Source organism: Homo sapiens, chromosome 20 (assembly GCF_000001405.40).
Source record: "Homo sapiens chromosome 20, GRCh38.p14 Primary Assembly".
NCBI classification, from domain to species: Eukaryota; Metazoa; Chordata; class Mammalia; order Primates; family Hominidae; genus Homo; species Homo sapiens.
In genome coordinates, this window is record NC_000020.11 from 41,052,657 (window position 1) to 41,072,392 (window position 19,736).

The following is a 19,736-nucleotide window of genomic DNA, read 5'->3' on the forward strand; positions in this document are numbered from 1 at the left end:
GAGTTACAAGAAGTTAGAGTATATCTATAACTTTTTTAAAAGAAAAAAAAAGGACCAGGCATGGTGGCTCACTCCTGTAATCCCAGCACTTTGGGAGGCCAAGGCAGGTATATCACTTGAGGTCAGGAGTTCGAGACCAGCCTGGTAAACATGCTGAAACCCTATCTCTACAAAAATACAAAAATTAGCTGGCCATGATGGTATGCACCTGTAATCCCAGCTACTCGGGAGCCTGAGGCAGGAGAATCTCTTGAACCTGGGAGGCGGAGGTTGCAGGGAGCTGAGATTGCACCACTGCACTCCAGCCTGGACAGTAGAGTGAGACTCTGTCTAAACAAACAACAAAAAAAAACTCTGTTTTGGACACATGACTTTAGGGAGATAAACATAACTCTGGGATTTTATTTTTTAATATGCTCCTGAAAACAGTCAACTCTCCCATTTCCTAGCTGGGAGAAGTATGTCTCACTTAATTTTGCTCATTCAGGAGAGGATGAATTTTTCAGCAATGATAGTAATAGCTGGCTGTTGCAACTCATTTCTTGCTGCAGCGTAGCACATCCACCAAGAATGCCCTTTCACCTTCCTTTGTCTTGCCAACTCCCTCTTAGCTTTCAGTAAGACTTGGCTCAAACTGCATCCTCCAGGAAGCCTATGTTAACTCCTAACTGCCACTCTTGGATCCAGGGTTTTTATTTCATCTTGTTCGCTGGTGGAACCGGGCTGTTTTATCTCATTATATTACTCTTCACTTTGAAACAAGGAGGCAGTTAACCTAGATTCAGTATTTTTACTCTTAGACTTTTTTTCCCCCAAAATGCCCATAAATTAAGCAATCTTACTGCCTTACTGCGCTTACTGAAAAATAGCAGCACAGCAGAAAAATAGAAAATCTTGCTATCATGTAAGAGATGTGGAAGTAATGGTGCCCACATGCTTCATTTGGAAAATGTCTATTACCTTTATAAAGAGTTTGTATAGTTTCTAAATACAGGAGCATTATGATGCGATAGAAACTGTTACTTTAATGTTAATTGACGTTCGAAAATTTGAGTTTCAAATGTTTCCTAAAACATTTTTTCTTAACCCTTTTGCTATTCCATTGATCTGCCATTCTACATTCTGCCTCCTTTGTTTCCCTGTCACTTATTAAAAATACTGCCTCTTAACTTTGTTGTCATCCACTTATTTCTCTAGATACACCTTGGAGTGTTTTTTCAGGCTGAATTGTTAGGCATGGGATTGCTGGGTTTAAAGAGGGAGTGTGTGAGTTTGTTTGATTTTGCCAAATTCTTCCTTCATGGGGGTTATACCAACTAGATGCACCTTATTTTCAGAGATGGTAAAATGAGGCAAAAAGTATCTTAGATTTGAGGAAATCGTTACCACCCAGAGTTGTGAAACTTAGAGGTGATATATGTAATACTGCCTTGCACAAAATATACATTTAGTAAAGGATACTGATATGGTTTGGCTGTGTCCCCACCCAAATCTCATGTTGAATTGTAGCTCTCATAATCTTCCTGTGTTGTGGGAGGGACCCGGTGGGAGGTGATTGAATCACCCGGGCAGTTACCTCCATGCTGTTCTTGTGATAGTGAGTTCTCATGAGGTCCGATGGTTTTATAAGGGGCTTCCCCACCCCGCCCCCGCACCTGCCCCACTTTGCTTCACACTTCTCCTTGCTGCCATCATTTGAAGAAGGACGTGTTTGCTTCCCCTTCCACCATGATTGTAAGTTTCCTGAGGCCTTCCCAGCTCTGCAGAACTGTGAGTCAATTAAACCTCTTTATAAATTACCCAGTCTTGGGTATGTCTTTATTAGCAGCGTGAGAATGGACTAATACAGATACCTAGATACCCATTATTATCTTTTGTGAACTGGGACTATTTCTCTATCGTAAGAGTGGTAAGAAACTTGAGTTGAGATAGTGTTTGAAAGCACGCTAGCATGGTGCTGGCACCCGTATTAGTGCCCTTTTCTCTTGTGTGCCTTGGGCAGCCAGCTACTTGAGATTATATCTTAATTACCTTAATGGATTGTAAACTCCTTGAGGGCAGAGTCCTTGTCTGGTGAGTCTTTAGCAGGAAGCTTTGGACTTGAATATATTTGGTTTTAAATTGAATTAGTCTTCAGAATATATTTCTGAAACAGTAGGAAAAGGATTTCTTTTTTTTCTTTCTTTTTTTTACACATTAGCCCTCAACTCCTGTGTAATGCTACCTAACATCTATTCCTACAGTAGGAAAAGACAGAGACACTTTCCTTTTGTCTGTCGGAAGCTTCTTTACTTAAAAGCTTTTTAAACCCCAGGGAATACGTTAGGTAACAATAGCAAAAGATGTTGATTCCTGTTCTATCTGTTTAACTTATCTGTCCTTAGGGAGTAACTCCAGTTAAATTACAGTGAAAGGAGTTAGTTGCCATAAGTCTTCTGTTTTATCAAGATTGCTTTATTGCAGGGGGCTTCCTCCCATGTCTTCATCTAGAATTTTCACTAGGAATTAAAATATTTGTTACTAGAAAGCATTAGTTGGCCTGAATTCACAGTGAATTAGGTTTTCTGATGATTTAATGTGCACTGGTTTGCATCTTTCATATCTGTCAGTTAAATTCAACACATTTCTTTTTGCACTTAACAGGTGCTTGAAGTGGCAGGGTCCTTCCTCTAAAACATTTTAAATAACACTAGTAGATGAATTCCAGTTAAGGGGAAAAGGTATGTGCTGAAAGTAATCTTCAAGGCCACAGTATGTTCTCTCCAAACACATGTTTTCACCACGAGGGATGTAGATCTGTGTGCCCTTATTGGCTTTACTTTTTCACTTACTGGCATCTCTTCTGACCAACATCTTTAGTCAGATGTCCCACTGTTACCTTAGATACAATATGGCTCAGGCTGGTCCATCATTTCTCCAGTATTTTTCACCATCTTTATTCTGTACAAGTTTCTTGTTTTTGCCAAGGCCCCTTGTTCCCCCAGTCACCTGGACGTAAAGACTTTCTCTGACTCTTTATTACACTGCATTTATTACACATAGTAGTGAGTTCCTGGAACTGGGTTCTACTTCCATTTTCCCAAATGTGCTTTTACATTTTTTCCTTCCTTCTTAGTTCCTTTGCTGTCACTTTTTTTGTAGATTGCTTCAGAAACCTCTAACTATTTATTTTGCTTTTACTTTTATCTCTTACTATGCCTTAACACAAACCCTCTCTTGGAACTAGGCCAGTCTTCTTGCCATGCCCTCACATAATAACACAAAAATGAAGGGTTGGAAAGGAAGAAGCTTAAAGATAATGTTTAACTTATGAAAAGTTTCAAGCATACACATAGAGAAATATAATGAACTCCCATGTGTCTGTCACTCAGCTTCAGTAATTACCAACCTTTTGCCAGTTGAATTTTGTCTATCCCCGTATCCCTTGGTGCTCCCCCAACCACCACCACCAGAGAGTATTATAAGCAAATTCCAGGCATCGCTTACATGGAAGTACTTCAGTATTCATCTTTAGAGATTCTTTAATCTGTCAGTTTACCTACTGCAGAATATCTCTACAGTTTCCCTTTCAGTTGGTTATTTAGTTTGTTTAAATGCTTTTGGCGTTCAGAAGGCATCCCATTCTTTTAGTGGTTAGTTCTTTTGTACTGACCTCAATTTGCCTCCCTATCATTTCTCAGCAGTAATATAAATTTATATTTACTCAGAAATTACAAATTTACTGAGTAAATTTATATAATACAATATAATAGTCATTAAGATATTTGAAGAAGTTGCCATGTAATACACTTTTTGACACACCTTTCACAGCACACATAGCACATGTAATAACTTTTATTTGTGTTTTAGAGAGAGGGTCTTGCTCTGTAGCCCAAGTGGAGTGTGGTGATGTAATCATAGCTCCATCCTTGAACTCCTGTGCCCAAGCAGTCTTCCCACCTCACCCTCAGAGCAGCCAGTATTACAGGTGCACCAAGATGCCCAATTAATTTTTTAAACAGTTTTCGTAGAGACAAGGTCTTGCTATGTTGCCCAGGCTGGTCTCAAACTCCTGGCCTCAAGTAAGCCTCCCACCTTGGCCTCCCAAAGTGTTGGGATTGTAAACATGAGCCACCGTGCTCAGCCATTCCTTTAAAATAGGAATACTTGGGGTTCAGATCTTTGACCTAGGTCTTATTTGTATCAATGAGATTAATGAGCCACAGCCCCGAGTTTCTCACCAGACATTTTTGATTTGCATTTTTAGACAGCAGTTGCTTTAAAAAACTTGGGGACCTGGCTTAAAATCAATTTTGAAATTTTGTGCATTAAAAAAAAAATGTGGCCGGGCGCAGTGGCTCACGCCTGTGATCCCAGCACCAGACTTTGGGAGGCTGAGGCAGATGGATTGCCTGAGCTCAGGAGTTCGAGACCAGCCTCGGCAACACGGTGAAACCCCATCTCTACTAAAATACAAAAAATTAGCCGGGCATGGCGGCATGCACCTGTAGTCTCAGCTACTCGGGAGGCTGAGGCAGGAGAATTGCTTGAACCCGGGAGGCTGAGGTTGCAGTGAGCCGAGATCACACCACTGCACTCCAGCCTGGGTGACAGAGTGCACCTGTAGTCTCAGCTACTCAGGAGGCTGAGGCAGGAGAATTGCTTGAACCCGGGAGGCTGAGGTTGCAGTGAGCCGAGATCACACCACTGCACTCCAGCCTGGGTGACAGAGTGAGACTCTGTCTCCAAAAAAAATAAAAAAAAAAAAGTTATTGGCAGACTGTTATCTGAAACCTGCCTGGAATTACTTTCAATTTATCCTTTACTTAATTTCCTTTTTAAGTTTAGAGCTTTTTAGTGATTTAAGCAAATTTTCCTATGTACACTAGTATTTGTCAAGATAAATTTTTAAAGCTTGGTCCATTTTTTACTATAAAAGTAATTGTGGGGAAAACTAGAAAACAAGATGAAGTATATGCACAAAAACTCAAGTTACTCATAAATTGACTACCCTAAGATAACTGCTTTTAATATTTTGATGTCTGTATTCCAGTCTTCTTCATATGTATTTATGCGTTTGTTGAATTATACACAGAGTAGTTTTTTTTAATGTGATGTCCTTTCCATACTCTAGGGCTGTATTAGCAGATCTTGATGTTCTGAAGCTTGTTTATTGCATCTGGCCTGCAAACAAAATTAATTGACACACATGCTTTATTCCAGATTGTGGTGCTATTACATGTATTGTCATTATTATGATTTTAGCCATAAGTGTTTGGTTTGAGGCAGAAGTAGTGGGATATTGCTGTCAAGTAAACTGGGGCCACTAACCTTGTGGGAATCAACTTAGCATTTTAAAATTATAGACTCGAGGTTTTTAGAAGAAGCTGAAGGGTTCTGTATGCTGCATGGAAGATTGAGTTCAAATCCTACTTCTGACACCATATGATATTATTTTTCCCATCTCTGTAGGATGGGAATTTCTTACAGTTAGTACTACGGTCATGCAGATTTCTATTTTCCCAGGGCCTGACACAGAATAGATGCTCAGCAGATTATGACACATGTGGCTTCTTTTGCTGTGAGCCAGTCATGGGATGAAGACACATTGCCTATGCATTATTAATTGATTGCTATAAAACATGTTGCCTCAAAATATAATAGCTTAAAACAACAGACACTTATTTTCTCATGTAGTTCCTGTGAGTCAGGAATCCAGACATAGTTTATCTGGGTGGCTTTGGCTTACCATCTGTAGATTGCAGTCAGTATGTCAGCCAGGGCTGCAGTCATTTGAAAACTTAATTTAGGCTAGAAGGTCCACTTCCAGGATGGCTCATTCACATGGCTAATTGGCAGGAAGCTTAAGTTTCTTACTACATGGGCCTTTCCAGAGGGCTTCTGAGTGAGTACATGACAGTGTGTCACTGGCCTCCCCCAGAGCAAGGAGAGAGCAGGAAGGAAGATCTAATACCTTTTATGGCCTAGTGTCGGAAGTTGCCCCCTCACAATTCCACTTCATCTTGTTTGTTAGGAGTGAGTCACAGTGTCCAGCCCACACTCAAGGGGAGGGGAATTAGGCTATACCTCTTGAAAAGCGGAGTAACAAACAATCTTATAGTCAAGATTGTGTTTGTGTAAGGTTAGAATAGAGGGTCCGGAAATAGACCTATAATTATATGACCGCTCGAAAACGCCAAGACAATTTAATGGGGAAAGGGCCATCTTTTAAAAAATAATGCTAGGCTATTCACAGTAGCAGAAACATGGAATCAACCTCAATTTTCATTAATGGTAGACTGGATTAAAAAAAAGAATGTGGCGCATGTACACCACGGAATACTGTGCAGCCATAAGAAGAACGAGATTGTGTCCTTTGCAGGAACATGGATGGAACTAGAGGCCATTACCCTTAGCAAACGTAACAGAGGAACAGAAAACCAAGTATTGCATGTTCTCACTTATAAGTGGGAGCTAAATGATGAGAACACATGGACACATGTAGGGGAACAGCAGATACAGGGGCCTTTTGGAGGGTGGAGGGTGAGAGGAGGGAGAAAATCAGGAAACATAATTAGTGGGTACTAGGCTTAATTCCTGGGTGATGAAATAATCTGTACAACAAACCTCCATGACACGAGTTTACCTATATAACAAACCTGCACATATACCCCTGAACTTAAAAGTTAAAAAAAAATGGTGTTAGAACAACTTGACGTCTTTATTGATTAGAAAAAAATGAACACTGGCCCTTAACTCTGCAAAACTGCTAGAAAATAAATAAATAAATAAATAAATAAATAAATAAATAAATAAATAAATAAGGTGGTGGTGGTGATATGCCCTTGTAATCCCAGCCATTCCAAGGGCTGTGGCAGGAGGATTGCTTGAGCCCAGGAGTTCGAGAGGAGCCTGCGTAACATCGTGATATAAGAAAATGAGACTCTTTCCCTGCCTTTCCCTGCAAAAGAGAGAGAGAGAAAATCTGTGTAGCCCTTGAGTAGGCAACGATATCTTGGGGCACAAAACATACAGACCCTAAAAGAGAAAATTGATGAAGTGGACTTGATCAAAATTTAAAACTTTTGCTCTTTGAAAGACACCATTAAGAAATAAAAACAAGAAAATGATGGGGAGAAAATATTCACAGTTCGTATAGCTAACAAAAAATTGGTAATCCAGAATGTATAAAGAGCTCTTACAACTAGGTAGTAAGAAGACCAAGAAAGATTTGAGCAGATACTTCACCAAAGAAGGTATATGAGAGGCCAACAAGCACACCAAAAGATGCTTGTCATTAAACATCATTTAATCATCAGAAATATGTGAATTGAAACCACAGTGAGGTACCACTCCACACGTGCTAGAATGGCTAAAATTAAAGACTGATAGCAGATATTGGTGAAAATTTGTAGCAATTGGAATGCTAATGAATTTTTGATGGAGATATACAATGGTACAATTTGGCAATTTCCTGTAAAGTTAAACATACATTTTTTATATTACCCAGTAACTTTTCTCCTAAGTATGTACCCAAGAGAAATGAAAACATGTCTATAGAAATATTTGTATATGAATGTTTGTAGCAGATAAATAATAACCAATGCCTGGAAACAACTAAATTGTCCAGCAGGTGAATGGGTAAGTTACAGTATATCCACACAATGTAACACCACTCAGCAATAAAATGGAACCAACAACTGATATATCCAACAATGTGGATGAATGTCACAAATGTTATGCTGAGAGAAAGACATCAGACACAAAAAGAATAAATCCTATATGATGTTATTTACATGAAATCTAGAAATCTAGACAAATCTAATATACAGCACGATCAGATCAGTGCTTCCTTTGGGCAAGGGGTGGAAGATGGGGAATGACTGGGAAGGAGCACGAGGGAAACTTTCTGAGATGATGGACTTGTTCTAAATCTTTATTGTAGTGGGGATTGCACCTGTGGGTGTCTTTGAAATGTTTATTATTACAGTTATTTCTTAATATTTGTAGGGGATTGGTTCCAGGACCACCCCACCCCCTGTCCCTAGTATACCAAAATTTGCAGATGTTCAAGTTTTTTTGTATATAAAATGGCACAGTATTTGCATATAACCTACACAATCCTTATATATACTTTAACTCACCACCACATTACTTAGATTACCTAATACAGTGTAACTATATAAATAGTTGTTATATTGTGGGGGGATTTGTATTTTTTTGGTTGTATTGTTATTACTATTTTTATTTTTCCTTGAATATTTTCAGTCTGCAAATGGTTGAATCTATGGTGCTGAACCTGTAGATATGGAGGGCTGATTGTATTTTATTGTTTAGACATTACACCTTATTAACATTCATTTAAAAACATCTGTTGAGGTTTGGATTTTTCAGAAGTTATAACATCTGATCTTTAGAGTCAGTGTTCAATACTATCCCTTTGTTATCATTTATAGGTCAGGCTTAATAGTATTATGTCTAGGGAGAAAAACGCCAAACTGTGGCTTCTTTCCACAGAATAATTGGCTCTCATTTCCTTATCCTCCCCATATTAGTAACTTGTCTTGATTGTAGAAGCAGGCTAATGGGAGCTTTGTCTGGGCTTCTTTGTGAAAGCTTTTTTTTTCAGTGGCATGTGCTATTATGCCTACCATGCCATTTGAATCCTGTCATTGTACTTCTTGACCAGCTTGTCAAGGTAGGCATACAGAAGATAGCTCATGACTCCTGTTAACTGACTCATCTCTTATGGTTGCAGATTCTCATAAACACAAAGATAAACACAAAGATCGAGAACACCGGCACAAAGAACACAAGAAGGAGAAGGACCGGGAAAAGTCCAAGCATAGCAACAGGTAAGGGTGGAATCAAGCAAGTCCCTCATCATTCAGCAGTGGGTTGGCCATTGCTTGGCTTACCTGGAATAGGTCTTAACTTGAGCTACATGTAAAGATAGCAAAGTAAGTAGAAACTGTATTTGATCCTAGAGTTGCTATGAGGATGGCCATGATTTAGGCCTTAAATGGGATGCCATTGTTCAGATCAAGATGTATAAAGCAAGTATGTTTAATTTTCTTTTAATATATACCTCATTAAAAATACAGTTGTTCACTAAGATAGGTAAGGATTCATTGTGACACATGATGGCATTTAATCAAGTCTGTAGCAAGCTTGCCTTGATAAAAGGTAACTGGATTGGAGACCTGATTTTTTTTCTTCTTTCTATATTTTAAAGAGTTTACATTAAAAATTCTTAACTTGGGCTTCCATGGTCTGTTAGCCCCTGAAATTATATGCAAATGGTTGAGTATATGAGATTTCCTGGAGAGACTATTTGTAGCTTTCATCATGTTATCAGAGGAGTTCGGCTCCCACAAAAGCCTACAATCACCAATATGAATGAAACTCAATAGTGCTGCCTTTTGGGATGCAAGCCTCAAGAAGATGTTTCTTTTGTTCATTTTGCTCCCATTTTTTTGGTGTAGGAGGCAAGTGGTTAAATCTAGTTATTGAAAATGAGGACTTGTACTTCCATTCTGATTTAAAGACAGTTGTTGGTGAGAAAGCCATATGGTATTCCCATTCCCATAGTGGCCTGAGCTAGGTTAGGGAATGTAAAGATCTGTCACACATTAGAACAAGTGTCTCCATTGTAGAGTTCTTAGAACTTCTTTATTAACTTGTCTGATTGTCTGTAGACAAGTTAAAGTGAGAATTGCTTTCTAAGTCTGTTCTTTTTCGCGAATCATTAAAATAACCAGATTTAATTTTCTCTATTGGGGACATTTCTTTGGGAATCATGTATCATGCCTGTGGCCTTTTTTCCCTATCCCTCACTTATCTCTTATCACTTGATCATCTAGTTTCCATTTTCATTATTCTGGTAAATTTAATCTCAGTAGTTGAATCTACTCTACATCTTTTCTAGTTTATAGTTGTCTAGCTTATGTTAATATCTACCGTACAGCAAAGAATATTGCCAAGGATAAAGAAGTTCATTGCATAATGATAAAAGGGACCCATTAGGAGAACATAGCAGTTATAAATGTTTATCCACTAACGTCACAGCCTCAAAATACATGAAGTAAATCTGATAGAGCTGCAAAGAGAAATAAACATTCATAATTATGGTCAGAGATTTTACTATCTTTCTCAATAATTTTTAGTCCAAATAGAAAATAATTAAGGATATGGAAGACTTGAACAGTATCAACCAACTTGATCTAATCGACATTTATAGGTTTTTCCCATCCAACAATATTAGAATTTTCTCTTTTCTTTCTGTCTACTTTTCCGCTTTTAATTTTTTTCAGGTTTTATTTTAGATTCAGTGGGTACATATAGGCAACTTTGTTACCTGGGTATATAGCTGTGATGCTGAGGTTTGGGTACAAATGATCCTGTCACCCAGGTACTGAGCATAGAACCCAACAATTAGTTTTTCAACCCTTACCGCCCTCTCTGCTCTAGTAGTCTCCAGTGTCTATTATTGCCATCTTTATGTCCATGAGCACCCGATGTTTAGCTCCTGCTTAAAAATGAGACCATGTGGTATTTGGTATTCTGTTCTTGCCTTAATTTGCTCAGGATAATAGCCTCCAGTTGCATCCATGTTGCTACAAAGGACATGATTCAGTTCTTTTTTTATGACCGTATAGTATTCCGTGGTAGATATGTACAACATTTTCTTTATCCAATCCATCATTGCTGGGTACCTAGGTTGATTCCATGTCTTCCCTATTGAGAACAGAGCTGCAGTGAACATGTGTGTACATGTGTCTTTTTAGTAAAATGATTTGTTTTCTTTTGGATACATACCAAGTAATGGGATTGCTGGATCAGAAGGTAGTTGTTTTTTTAAGTTCTTTGAGAAATCTCCAAACTGCTTTCCCTAGTGGCTGGACTAATTTACATTCTCATCAACAGTGTATAAGTGTTCCCTTTTTTCTGCAGCCTTGTGAGCCATCTGCTGGTTTTTGATTTTTAATAGCCATTGTGGCTGGTGTGAGATGATATCTCATTGTGGTTTTGATTTGCATTTCTCTGATGATTAGGGACGTGGAGCATTTTTTCATACATTTGTTGGCCATTTGTATGTCATCTTTTGAGAAATGTCTGTTCATGTCTTTTGCTTGTTTTTTAATGGGGTTACTTGTTTTTTGCTTGTTGAATCATTTAGGTTCCTTATAGATTCTGGATATTATACCTGTTAGACGCATAGTTAGTGAATATTTTCTCCCATTCTGTAAGTTGTCTGTTAACTCTGTTGATAGTTTAATTAGATCCCATTTGTCAATTTTTGCTTTTGCTGCAATTGCTTTTGGCATCTTTGCTATGAAATCTTTGCTCGTTCCTATGTCCAGAATGGTATTGCCTAGGTTGTCGTCTAGGGTTTTTAACAGTTTTAAGTTTTACATTTAAGTATTTGATTCATCTTGAATTGATTTTTGTATGTGGTGTAAGGAAGGGGTCCAGTTTCAGTTTTCTGCGTATGGCTAGCCAGTTATCCTAGCATCATTTATTGAATAGGGAGTCTTTTCCCCATTGCTTATTTTGGTTGACTTTCTTGAAGATTAGATTGCTGTCGGTGTGTGGTTTTATTTCTGGGTTCTCTGTTCTGTTCCATTTGGTCTATGTGTCTGTTTTTGTACCATTACCATGCTGTTAGTGTTTCTGTACCATTACCATGATGTTAGAATACATTCTTTTTAAGTGCACACGAAATGTGCCAAAATAGCTCATACTTTGGACCCCACTCTCCTTAAACCATCTTCTTTGGCTTTAATGCTTCCATGCCTCTCCATCTTTCTGGCCACCTTTTTCACCTCTTTCTAATGCACAGTCATTCCTTAACAGTTTTTGGCTGTCTTTTCTCTGCTACCTGTTTTGCTGTTTATCCTTATTTCACATTCCATATTTGGTCTTGTGAACTTCTTTTCAGTTCCTTAAACATAGCATGTTTTCTGATGCCGCTAAGCCTTTAAACATGCTGTTGGTTCTGTAATACTCTCTTGCCCCTTTGCTGTCATTCTTTTAGTTGCAGCTCAGACTTGACTTGTTCCAGGTATCCTTTCTACCCTCCTTCTCATATTAAATGCCACTTTTGTGTGCTCTCTGGTGCCTTGAATATATTCCTAGTGTAATAATTATTATATTTAATTGTGTCTTTACTTTTCCCTATGGCCTCCTGGACTCTAAAGTCCCTGAAAGCAGAATTGGGATCTTTTTTGTTTTTTCTGGGGTGGGGCGGGGGGCTGGTTTTTTGTTTGTTTGTTTGTTTGTTTTTTGAGACGGAGTCTTACTCTGTTGCCCAGGCTGGAGTGCAGTGGTGCCATCTCAGCTCACTGCTATCTCCACCTCCCAGGTTCAAGTGATTCTCCTGCCTCTGCCTCCCAAGTAGCTGGGATTAAGGTGCGTGCCCCGACACCCAGCTAATTTTTTGTATTTTTAGTAGAGACAGGGTTTCACCATGTTGACTAGGCTGGTCTCAAACTCCTGACCTCAAGTGATCTGCCCACCTTGGCCTCCCAAAGTGCTAGGATTACAGGTGTGAGCCACCACGCCCAGCCTTTTGTATTCATTTTGCATCCTTCAGGCTTAGTATGGTACCTGGCAGATAGCTGGCACTTACTAGTCTATATTTATTGAATTAATGAGTGGATGATCTATGGGTACATTAATTCCCATCTCTCTTTCTTCTCACGTACTCTTAATCTTCTATAGGATAGTTATTAAGTCACTTTGGCTTATCTCATTTTTCACACAATTGTGTGTGGTAAAATAAACATAACAAAATTTACTGTTTTAAAGTAGCATTTAGTACATTGACAATAGTATGCAACTGTCACCACTATCTCCAGAACTTTTCATCATCCCAGTCTTTGAATTCACTAAATAATAACTTTTCATTCTGTTCCCCTGTCCCAATATCTTTCTACTTTGTCTTTTTTTCTCTTTCCCTTCTACCTTTTATCTTTATGAATTTGCCTATTCTAAGTACTTCATATAAGTGGAATAATACAATATTTATCTTTTTTAAATCTGTTCTATATTCCCTTAATATGTTTTCAAGGTTTATCCGTATTGTAGCGTATCAGAAATTCATTCTTTTTTATGACTGAATTATATTCCATTGTATGCCTGTAATCACATTTAAAAAAATCCATCTGTTGATGGACACTTGGGTTGTTTCCACCCTTTGGCTACAAATACATGTTTGAGTTCCACTTTCATTCTCCGGGGTGTATACCTAGGAGTAGAATTGCTAGATCATGTCCAACAATGGGTGGCTGCCTGCTATGTTTTTACTGTGCTAATTGATGTGGTGTGAAAAAAAAAATTAGATAACCTTTGACCGTGAACAGTATCATCTGAGGAGGTGAGAGACCTGCTTACAGATCAGATGAAGAATGTTGATTTTTATATTACTAGGCTGTAAGAAGAAATTCCAAAAGACTTTAAGAAGAAAGAGGTTAATATTTAAAACATAAGCTTTTGAAAACTTATCTTCTCTAACACATTCTACTTTGTTTTGGGAGGAAAGATACAGTAAAAGTGACATAAAGGGCTTTGAGACATATAAGTTTGGCCCTGTCCTGTTTTACAAAAATCTTCTCTTAAAAAAAAAAAAGGGATGTGATTTTTTTAGAAGAAATCCTCATCCTTGTACATCCATTTAAGTCTCGTGATCTTGGCTAGGTTACTTAACCTTCTTCAACTCAGTTTCTTCATCTTCATCTTGATACATGCTTCACAGGGGAACCATGGGAGTCAATAAATATAGAAGCTCTTCAGTTGTGAACTGCTCTACAGATGTGCAGAGATGACACTTTTACATCTATTTAAAAGCATACTTTTCCAAGATCATATTGTAGGTAAATTCAATAATTTGTTGTATGTACTTTTGTGCCTCTTTTCTTTTCTTTTTTTTTTTTTTTTTGAGACAGTCTTGCTCTGTCGCCCAGGCTGGAGTGCAGTGACACAATCTCGGCTCACTGCATCCTCCGCCTCCCGGGTTCATGCCATTCTCCTGCCTCAGCCTCCCGAGTAGCTGGGACTACAGGTGCCCGCCACCATGCCCCGCTAATTTTTTATATTTTTAGTAGAGACGGGGTTTTACTGTGTTAACCAGGATGGTCTCAATCTCCTGACCTCGTGATCCACCTGCCTCGGCCTCCCAAAGTCTTGGGATTACAGGCGTGAGCCACCGCGCCTGGCCACTTCTGTGCCTTTTAATATTTTCTTCATTCCTATAAAAATAGAAGCCTTTTTGCCAAGAGCTATTGGAAAAACCTGGCCCGAGTTTCTGTTTACATATGACATGACTAAATCTAGCCCTTGGTTTCTTATTCACATGAGTAAATTTTAACAGTTTAATCAGATGATCTGTTGTAAGCAAACTTTTAAGTACTTCTTGTTTTGATGTCTACTGACACAGTACCTCTTTGCAACAAAGCAAGGATATTGGTTATATTCCAGTAAAATTATTTTATTATTTTTTTTGAGATGGAGTCTCACTTTGTCACCCAGGCTGGAGTGCAGTGGTGTGATCTCGGCTCACTGCAACCTCTGCCTCCTGGGTTCAAGCGATTCTCCTGCCTCAGCCTCCCGAGTAGCTGGGACTTACAGGCGCCTGCCACCACGCCGAGCTAATTTTTGTATTTTTGGTAGAGACGAGGTTTCACCATATTGGCCAGGCTGGTCTCGAACTCCTGGCCTTGTGATCCTCCTGCCTCAGCCTCCCAAGGTGCTGGGATTACAGGCTTGAGCCACCACACCCGGCCTCCAGTAAAATTTTATATACACTGTGATCCTTTTAAAGTACCTCTGATCTTTTTAAATAGTTTAGGGTTTCTTCGATTTCTTCTGTAGCAGATTAAAGAAATCTGGGGGATTATTTAATCACATCTGAACCCCAGAATAATTAGTATTTAGCATGTTCTGTTCCAAAATGCTTTCATTTATTCCAATCCTTGCTAATCAATTGTAGCTAATTTTGTGGCCATTTGTTAGGAGAAAACAAGTGTTTCAGATGTGTTTCTGTGTCCCTTCCTTCTCTGCTAGATATTAGCACCAATCATTTGTCATCAGGCTATACTTAGGACCCAAGCCCAGGAGGCATTTACTGTCCTGTGCAGTAGCAATACTGCAGACTTGGAGTGGGAGAGTAGCCATTATGTGCAGAAACAAAATGGGGCTATGGATCCACATCCCAGAAGATGCCATTTGGTTTCCTCTTTATTGTCCTCATGCAAGGTGCAAAACAAGGGAGTAGGTATTAAGAATCATTTCATCTTGTCTTCTCTTTGTGTGGACAGGAGTCTGAGGTCACATGCTCTAAGTCCCACAGTGATGTGGTAGCAGAAAGAAGAGGATGTGAGACCAAGGATCCTGAGTCCCCACTACATTATTCCTTCCAGTGAAAAATACCTCCCTGTGTAAAAAGAGTTAGTTTTGTAGCTAAACTGTCTGTTTAAATACAAGCACCCCTTACTTGTATGCATATGGTAGGCAGCTCAGGTTTAAAAATGTCAGATCACCTCAGGCACTGCCTTTATCTCTCTTTGTCCCCAAATCCCTGAAATCTTTGGCACTGAAAGTATTAATGTCATCAAATTCTGAACCTATGAAAACTTCATCTCTGTCTTTCTCTTGTCTGGCCTGTAACATGACAAGAACAGCTCACACCAAAGTTAGAAGATAATTTCATCAGTCATCACTTATCTCTTGACACTGCTTCTTTCTGTTAGCGTTAATATTTTGCTCCTCAGATCCTTTTTCTTTTTTTTTGGAGTCAGGGTCTCATTGACTGCTAAGCTTGGGCGCGGTGGTGTGATTATAGCTCACTGCAGCCTCCCTGGGCCCAAGGGGTCCTCCCACCTCAGCCTCTTGAATAGCTGGGACAATAGGCATGCACCACCATGCTTGGTTAATTAACTTTTTTGTTTTTAATAGAGATGGCGGTCTTGCTATGTTGCCCAGGGTGGTCTGGAACTTCTGGGCTCCCACATTGGCATCCCATAGTGTTGGGGTTACAGGCATGAGCCACCATGGCCGGCCCTCTTTTAAAAAATACATAAATAATCTCAAAAGGAATACTCTTCTAGATGCCAAGGAATTACGTAGCTTGTAGGATCTCACGAGCTACCTTTCTTAAAGGGTTACATTCTTATCCATTGTTTATCTTTAATAGTAGATCTCTTGTATAAACAGAATATTATTAAAAGCAATTTGGGAGGGGGGCTTGATTTTAGAAAATAAGAGAATCGTGTGAAATGAAATTCCTCCTAGTTTTCGACTCTGTGCATCTCTTGCCAATTTTAAACCTGGCATTCACACTGGAGTGACAAATTTGTGGAAAGCAAGGGAAGACAGAAAACTGCTGTAAAATAGCAAGGGAAGTACTTTTCCAGCCATATTGGCAGTGCTATTCTGTACTGTCAGTGTGAGAAACATCTGAGAATAAGGATGCTTTTGGCTTCTGCTTTCCTTTTAGTTCCAAATCCTACCTGAATTGTAATTGAGAGAATGTAGGATTTTAGGAATATGCACTTGAATTACGCATCTAGTTCTCAGATTAGGGGAGATTTTTCTGAAATTAATAAAATTTAAAAGATATGTTTGCTGCTTTCCTTGTGAGTGGTTTGCCAAAGCCCTCCCTTTGTCTACACATCACTATATCATCCTGTCTGTGGGAAATGGACAACTAACATGGGTAGGCAGAGAAGATTGAACAGTTTGGAAATGAGGAAACTCAGTACCACCACCATTCACATGGGAGTCAGTATGATATATTGAATAGCACACTAAGATAAAAGTTAAGAGGCTGGGTTCTGTCATTTATAAGCTACGTGTCGTGATCCAAGGTGCTTAACTTCTCTGGGTCTCATTTTCTGTTTTGGTCAAGGGTTGATAACAGTACCTGCTTTATCAATCTTTCAAGTTTGTTTATGCACATGACAGCTCTTTGGGAACTGTAACATACTAAATAATTGAGATAATGATGGTGATGATGATAATTACCGCAAAGCCTAGTATAATATCATGCAGATAAATTGGAGCTCTTGAGTTTGGTAGTTGAATCTAATTCAGTAGTTATTGATAGCATTCAATTTGGAGCCCTGATATTTTCAATATTATATTTATCCCTATCATAGTACGCCATAATCATTGTTTTTAAGATTTCATGGTGGAGACAGCATTTGAGCTAGCCATTCAAAGATGGTTAAAATTTTGCTAACGGAAAGTAATGGTTAGAAAGAAAAACATAAGCAAAACATAGAGGCATTGTAGTATATGCTTTGTTCTGGGAGGAATCTAGTTAGGTGGGTTACACAGGGTGGAATAGTAGAAAATGAGACCCAAAAAAGTGGCTTGAGGCAAAACTATTAAATGCCATTTCAAAAAGTTGGAACTTGTTACTTACACTAACTAAAAATCGGGGGGAAATGTTGGGACTCGATTCTGAGCTGAGCAAGAAGCCACTGGAAATACTTGAGCAAAGTGGATATAAGACTTAGCTACAAATGACATGAAGGGTCTAAGAAAAAGGGTTCCTGTCTTGGATAACTGGGTGGCTGTTCACGCTATTAATAGAGACAAAGAACTTAAGGGAGGAATGGGAGTTAGAATGGGTATCGGTTTTGCCATCTTTGGGCACATCCTTTTATCCTCTCTGGCCTGAAAACAAAGGATTAAATAATTTCTAGGAAATTACATTTACCTTGAAGTTTTGATACTTCTATAATATAAAACGCCGGAGTCCTTGTGATTTTGTTTAGAGATATATAATCGGCATTGTAGTGTGTAATGATGATGGACATTAAGGAACCCTTGTTTCTTAGTGCCTTTTGGAAACTGGCTCATTTCAGAAGCTGCGCTCTTTTCCCAGAGGCAACTTTTGAAGTTACTTAAATATTTAATTTAACAAATATCATTTAAGATTTAACTGTCTACTATCCTTGAAAGGGTCATGAGTTTCCCTCCTAAACCAAGACTTTGAAGCTCTCTGTGCTGTCTCACAGGAATCCCCATGATCCAACTTCATGTGACCTGCAGAGGTCTGCTGCCTTGAGGAGTAGACAGGTAGCTGGGCTGTTAGTGGCTAAGTCCTTTTCTCAGAATATGTGGAGGCTCCTTCTACCTTTAACAGTGCTTTTTTGCTTTGTTTGGGAAGTAACAGAGTAGTCAAGTGCATGACCCTGGAGCCAGACTGCCTGAGTTTAAATCCTGTTTCTCTCTTTAGAGGTAGTTCCTTGGGTGAGTTACTTAACTTGTCTGTGCTTCAGTTTCCACATCTGTGAAATGAAGATACCAGTAGTTACCTGAGTTTTGTTACCGATATCAAATGTGCTTAGATGAGTGCTTGGCACTGGGTGCTACTCAAGTATCTGTTAAATACTTTTATGGGGGATAGAGGACAGATTTAAATGGTTTCCCATAGCCAACATTCTAGCTTTCCAGAATATCAGTATTTTGTTGTGGTAGCGGTGGTCTTTTTTCCTAAAGAAACAGTGCTTCGCCAGAAGGGAGACATTGTTCCCTACTGGCTCCCTACTTCCACCGTTTCTCCCACTCTTCTATATAAGTGCCTTAGAGAAACTCTGGTCACCCTTTTCTGTGGTCTGCTTAGCTCCAACAAGAATCATAGACCAAAGGTTTTGCTGTCATCACTTTAAAAATAGTGTAAGTTATTTTTTTCTTTCCTTTTTTTAAATTTTTTTTTTTTTGAGATGGAGCCTCAGTCTATCGCCAGGCTGGAGTGCAGTGGCGTGATCTCGGCTCACTGCAGCCTCTGTCTCCCTGGTTCAAGTGATTCTCCTGCCTCAGCCTCCCCAGTAGCTGGGATTACAGGCATGTGCCACCACGCCCAGCTAATTTTTGTATTTTTAGTAGAAATGGGGTTTCACTGTGTTGCCCAGGCTGGTCTCGAACTCCTGACCTCAGGTGATCTGCCCGCCTCGGCCTCCTGAAGTGCTAGGATTACAGGCATGAGCCACCACGCCCAGCCAGATTATTTTTTCTTTAGTGGAATTCAGCCAATTGAAGCATAACACATGGCATGAACACTCTGGAAAGGTGGCTTTGGATCTTTCCATTTGTTCTCTTTAGCGCTGACTTTTGCTTTCTAGTCCCTGCTAGTGTGTTGGAATCTTACCCCATACAGATGCAAACTATGAACCAAGAAGTCAGCATCTATGCCTAGCCAATAATTGGTTGTTTTCTCGTTCAGAGTTCCTCATGCCCATGGGGTAAATTCATATTTCATCCATAAGTGTGACCATTGCAGAAGTTCTAGGACTGCTACTGTCTGTATTTTTGTCCTTCAGCATATCCCAGACTAAACTTACTCTTAAAATATGTTTGTCCAACCTTTGGTTTCCTTCCTATGGTTGATATTAAGCCTTTCTTCTACTCTTAGAAGACAAAATGGGGAGACAAAAAAGGCAACCCTGAAGGTTTTTATCCTTTCAGGGTATCTAGCATTTTTCTAATTTAGCCCTACTGAAGTTTCTTCAGTAATTAATCATCTGTTTTTCAGCCTCTAACCTGGCTAATATTATAGCCTACAATTGTACTTTTAAAGCCCTTTTGTGACTTTGACATATTGTGTCTATTGTGTATGGAAAAGTAGCAGGATCAGTATGAAGATAATACAGTATCTCTTAAAACAGGCAGCCAGCAAATGAACTTTCTGCATTGGTCAGAATTTCCATCATTTCACTGTTAATGAGGAAAGTACAGTTCTTTAGCTACCA

The 19,736-nt window shown here is 39.1% G+C and overlaps 1 protein-coding gene across 1 annotated transcript in view, besides 2 other annotated features; it reads left to right on the forward strand.

Annotated features, from left to right (window-relative positions):
- The window catches only part of TOP1 (DNA topoisomerase I), a 95,666-nt gene that overhangs the window by 23,835 nt on the left and 52,095 nt on the right, over positions 1-19,736 (forward strand). The window contains exon 3 of the mRNA NM_003286.4: positions 8,738-8,834. Within this exon, the coding sequence (NP_003277.1) occupies positions 8,738-8,834 (97 nt within the window). The remainder of the gene's footprint in view (positions 1-8,737; positions 8,835-19,736) is intronic.
- Positions 473-767: a silencer, noted in NCBI's record as "tiled region #14849; HepG2 Repressive non-DNase unmatched - State 14:Gen5'". NCBI's record gives its function as "represses a minimal TATA promoter and a strong SV40 promoter by Sharpr-MPRA in HepG2 cells {active_cell/tissue: HepG2}" and the evidence as "EXISTENCE:reporter gene assay evidence [ECO:0000049][PMID:27701403]".
- Positions 5,064-6,263: an enhancer, noted in NCBI's record as "P300/CBP strongly-dependent group 1 enhancer chr20:39686360-39687559 (GRCh37/hg19 assembly coordinates)". NCBI's record gives its function as "activates an origin of replication core promoter dependent on BRD2, BRD4, P300/CBP, MED14 and CDK7 cofactors, with strong dependence on P300/CBP, by STARR-seq in HCT116 cells {active_cell/tissue: HCT116}" and the evidence as "EXISTENCE:reporter gene assay evidence [ECO:0000049][PMID:35650434]".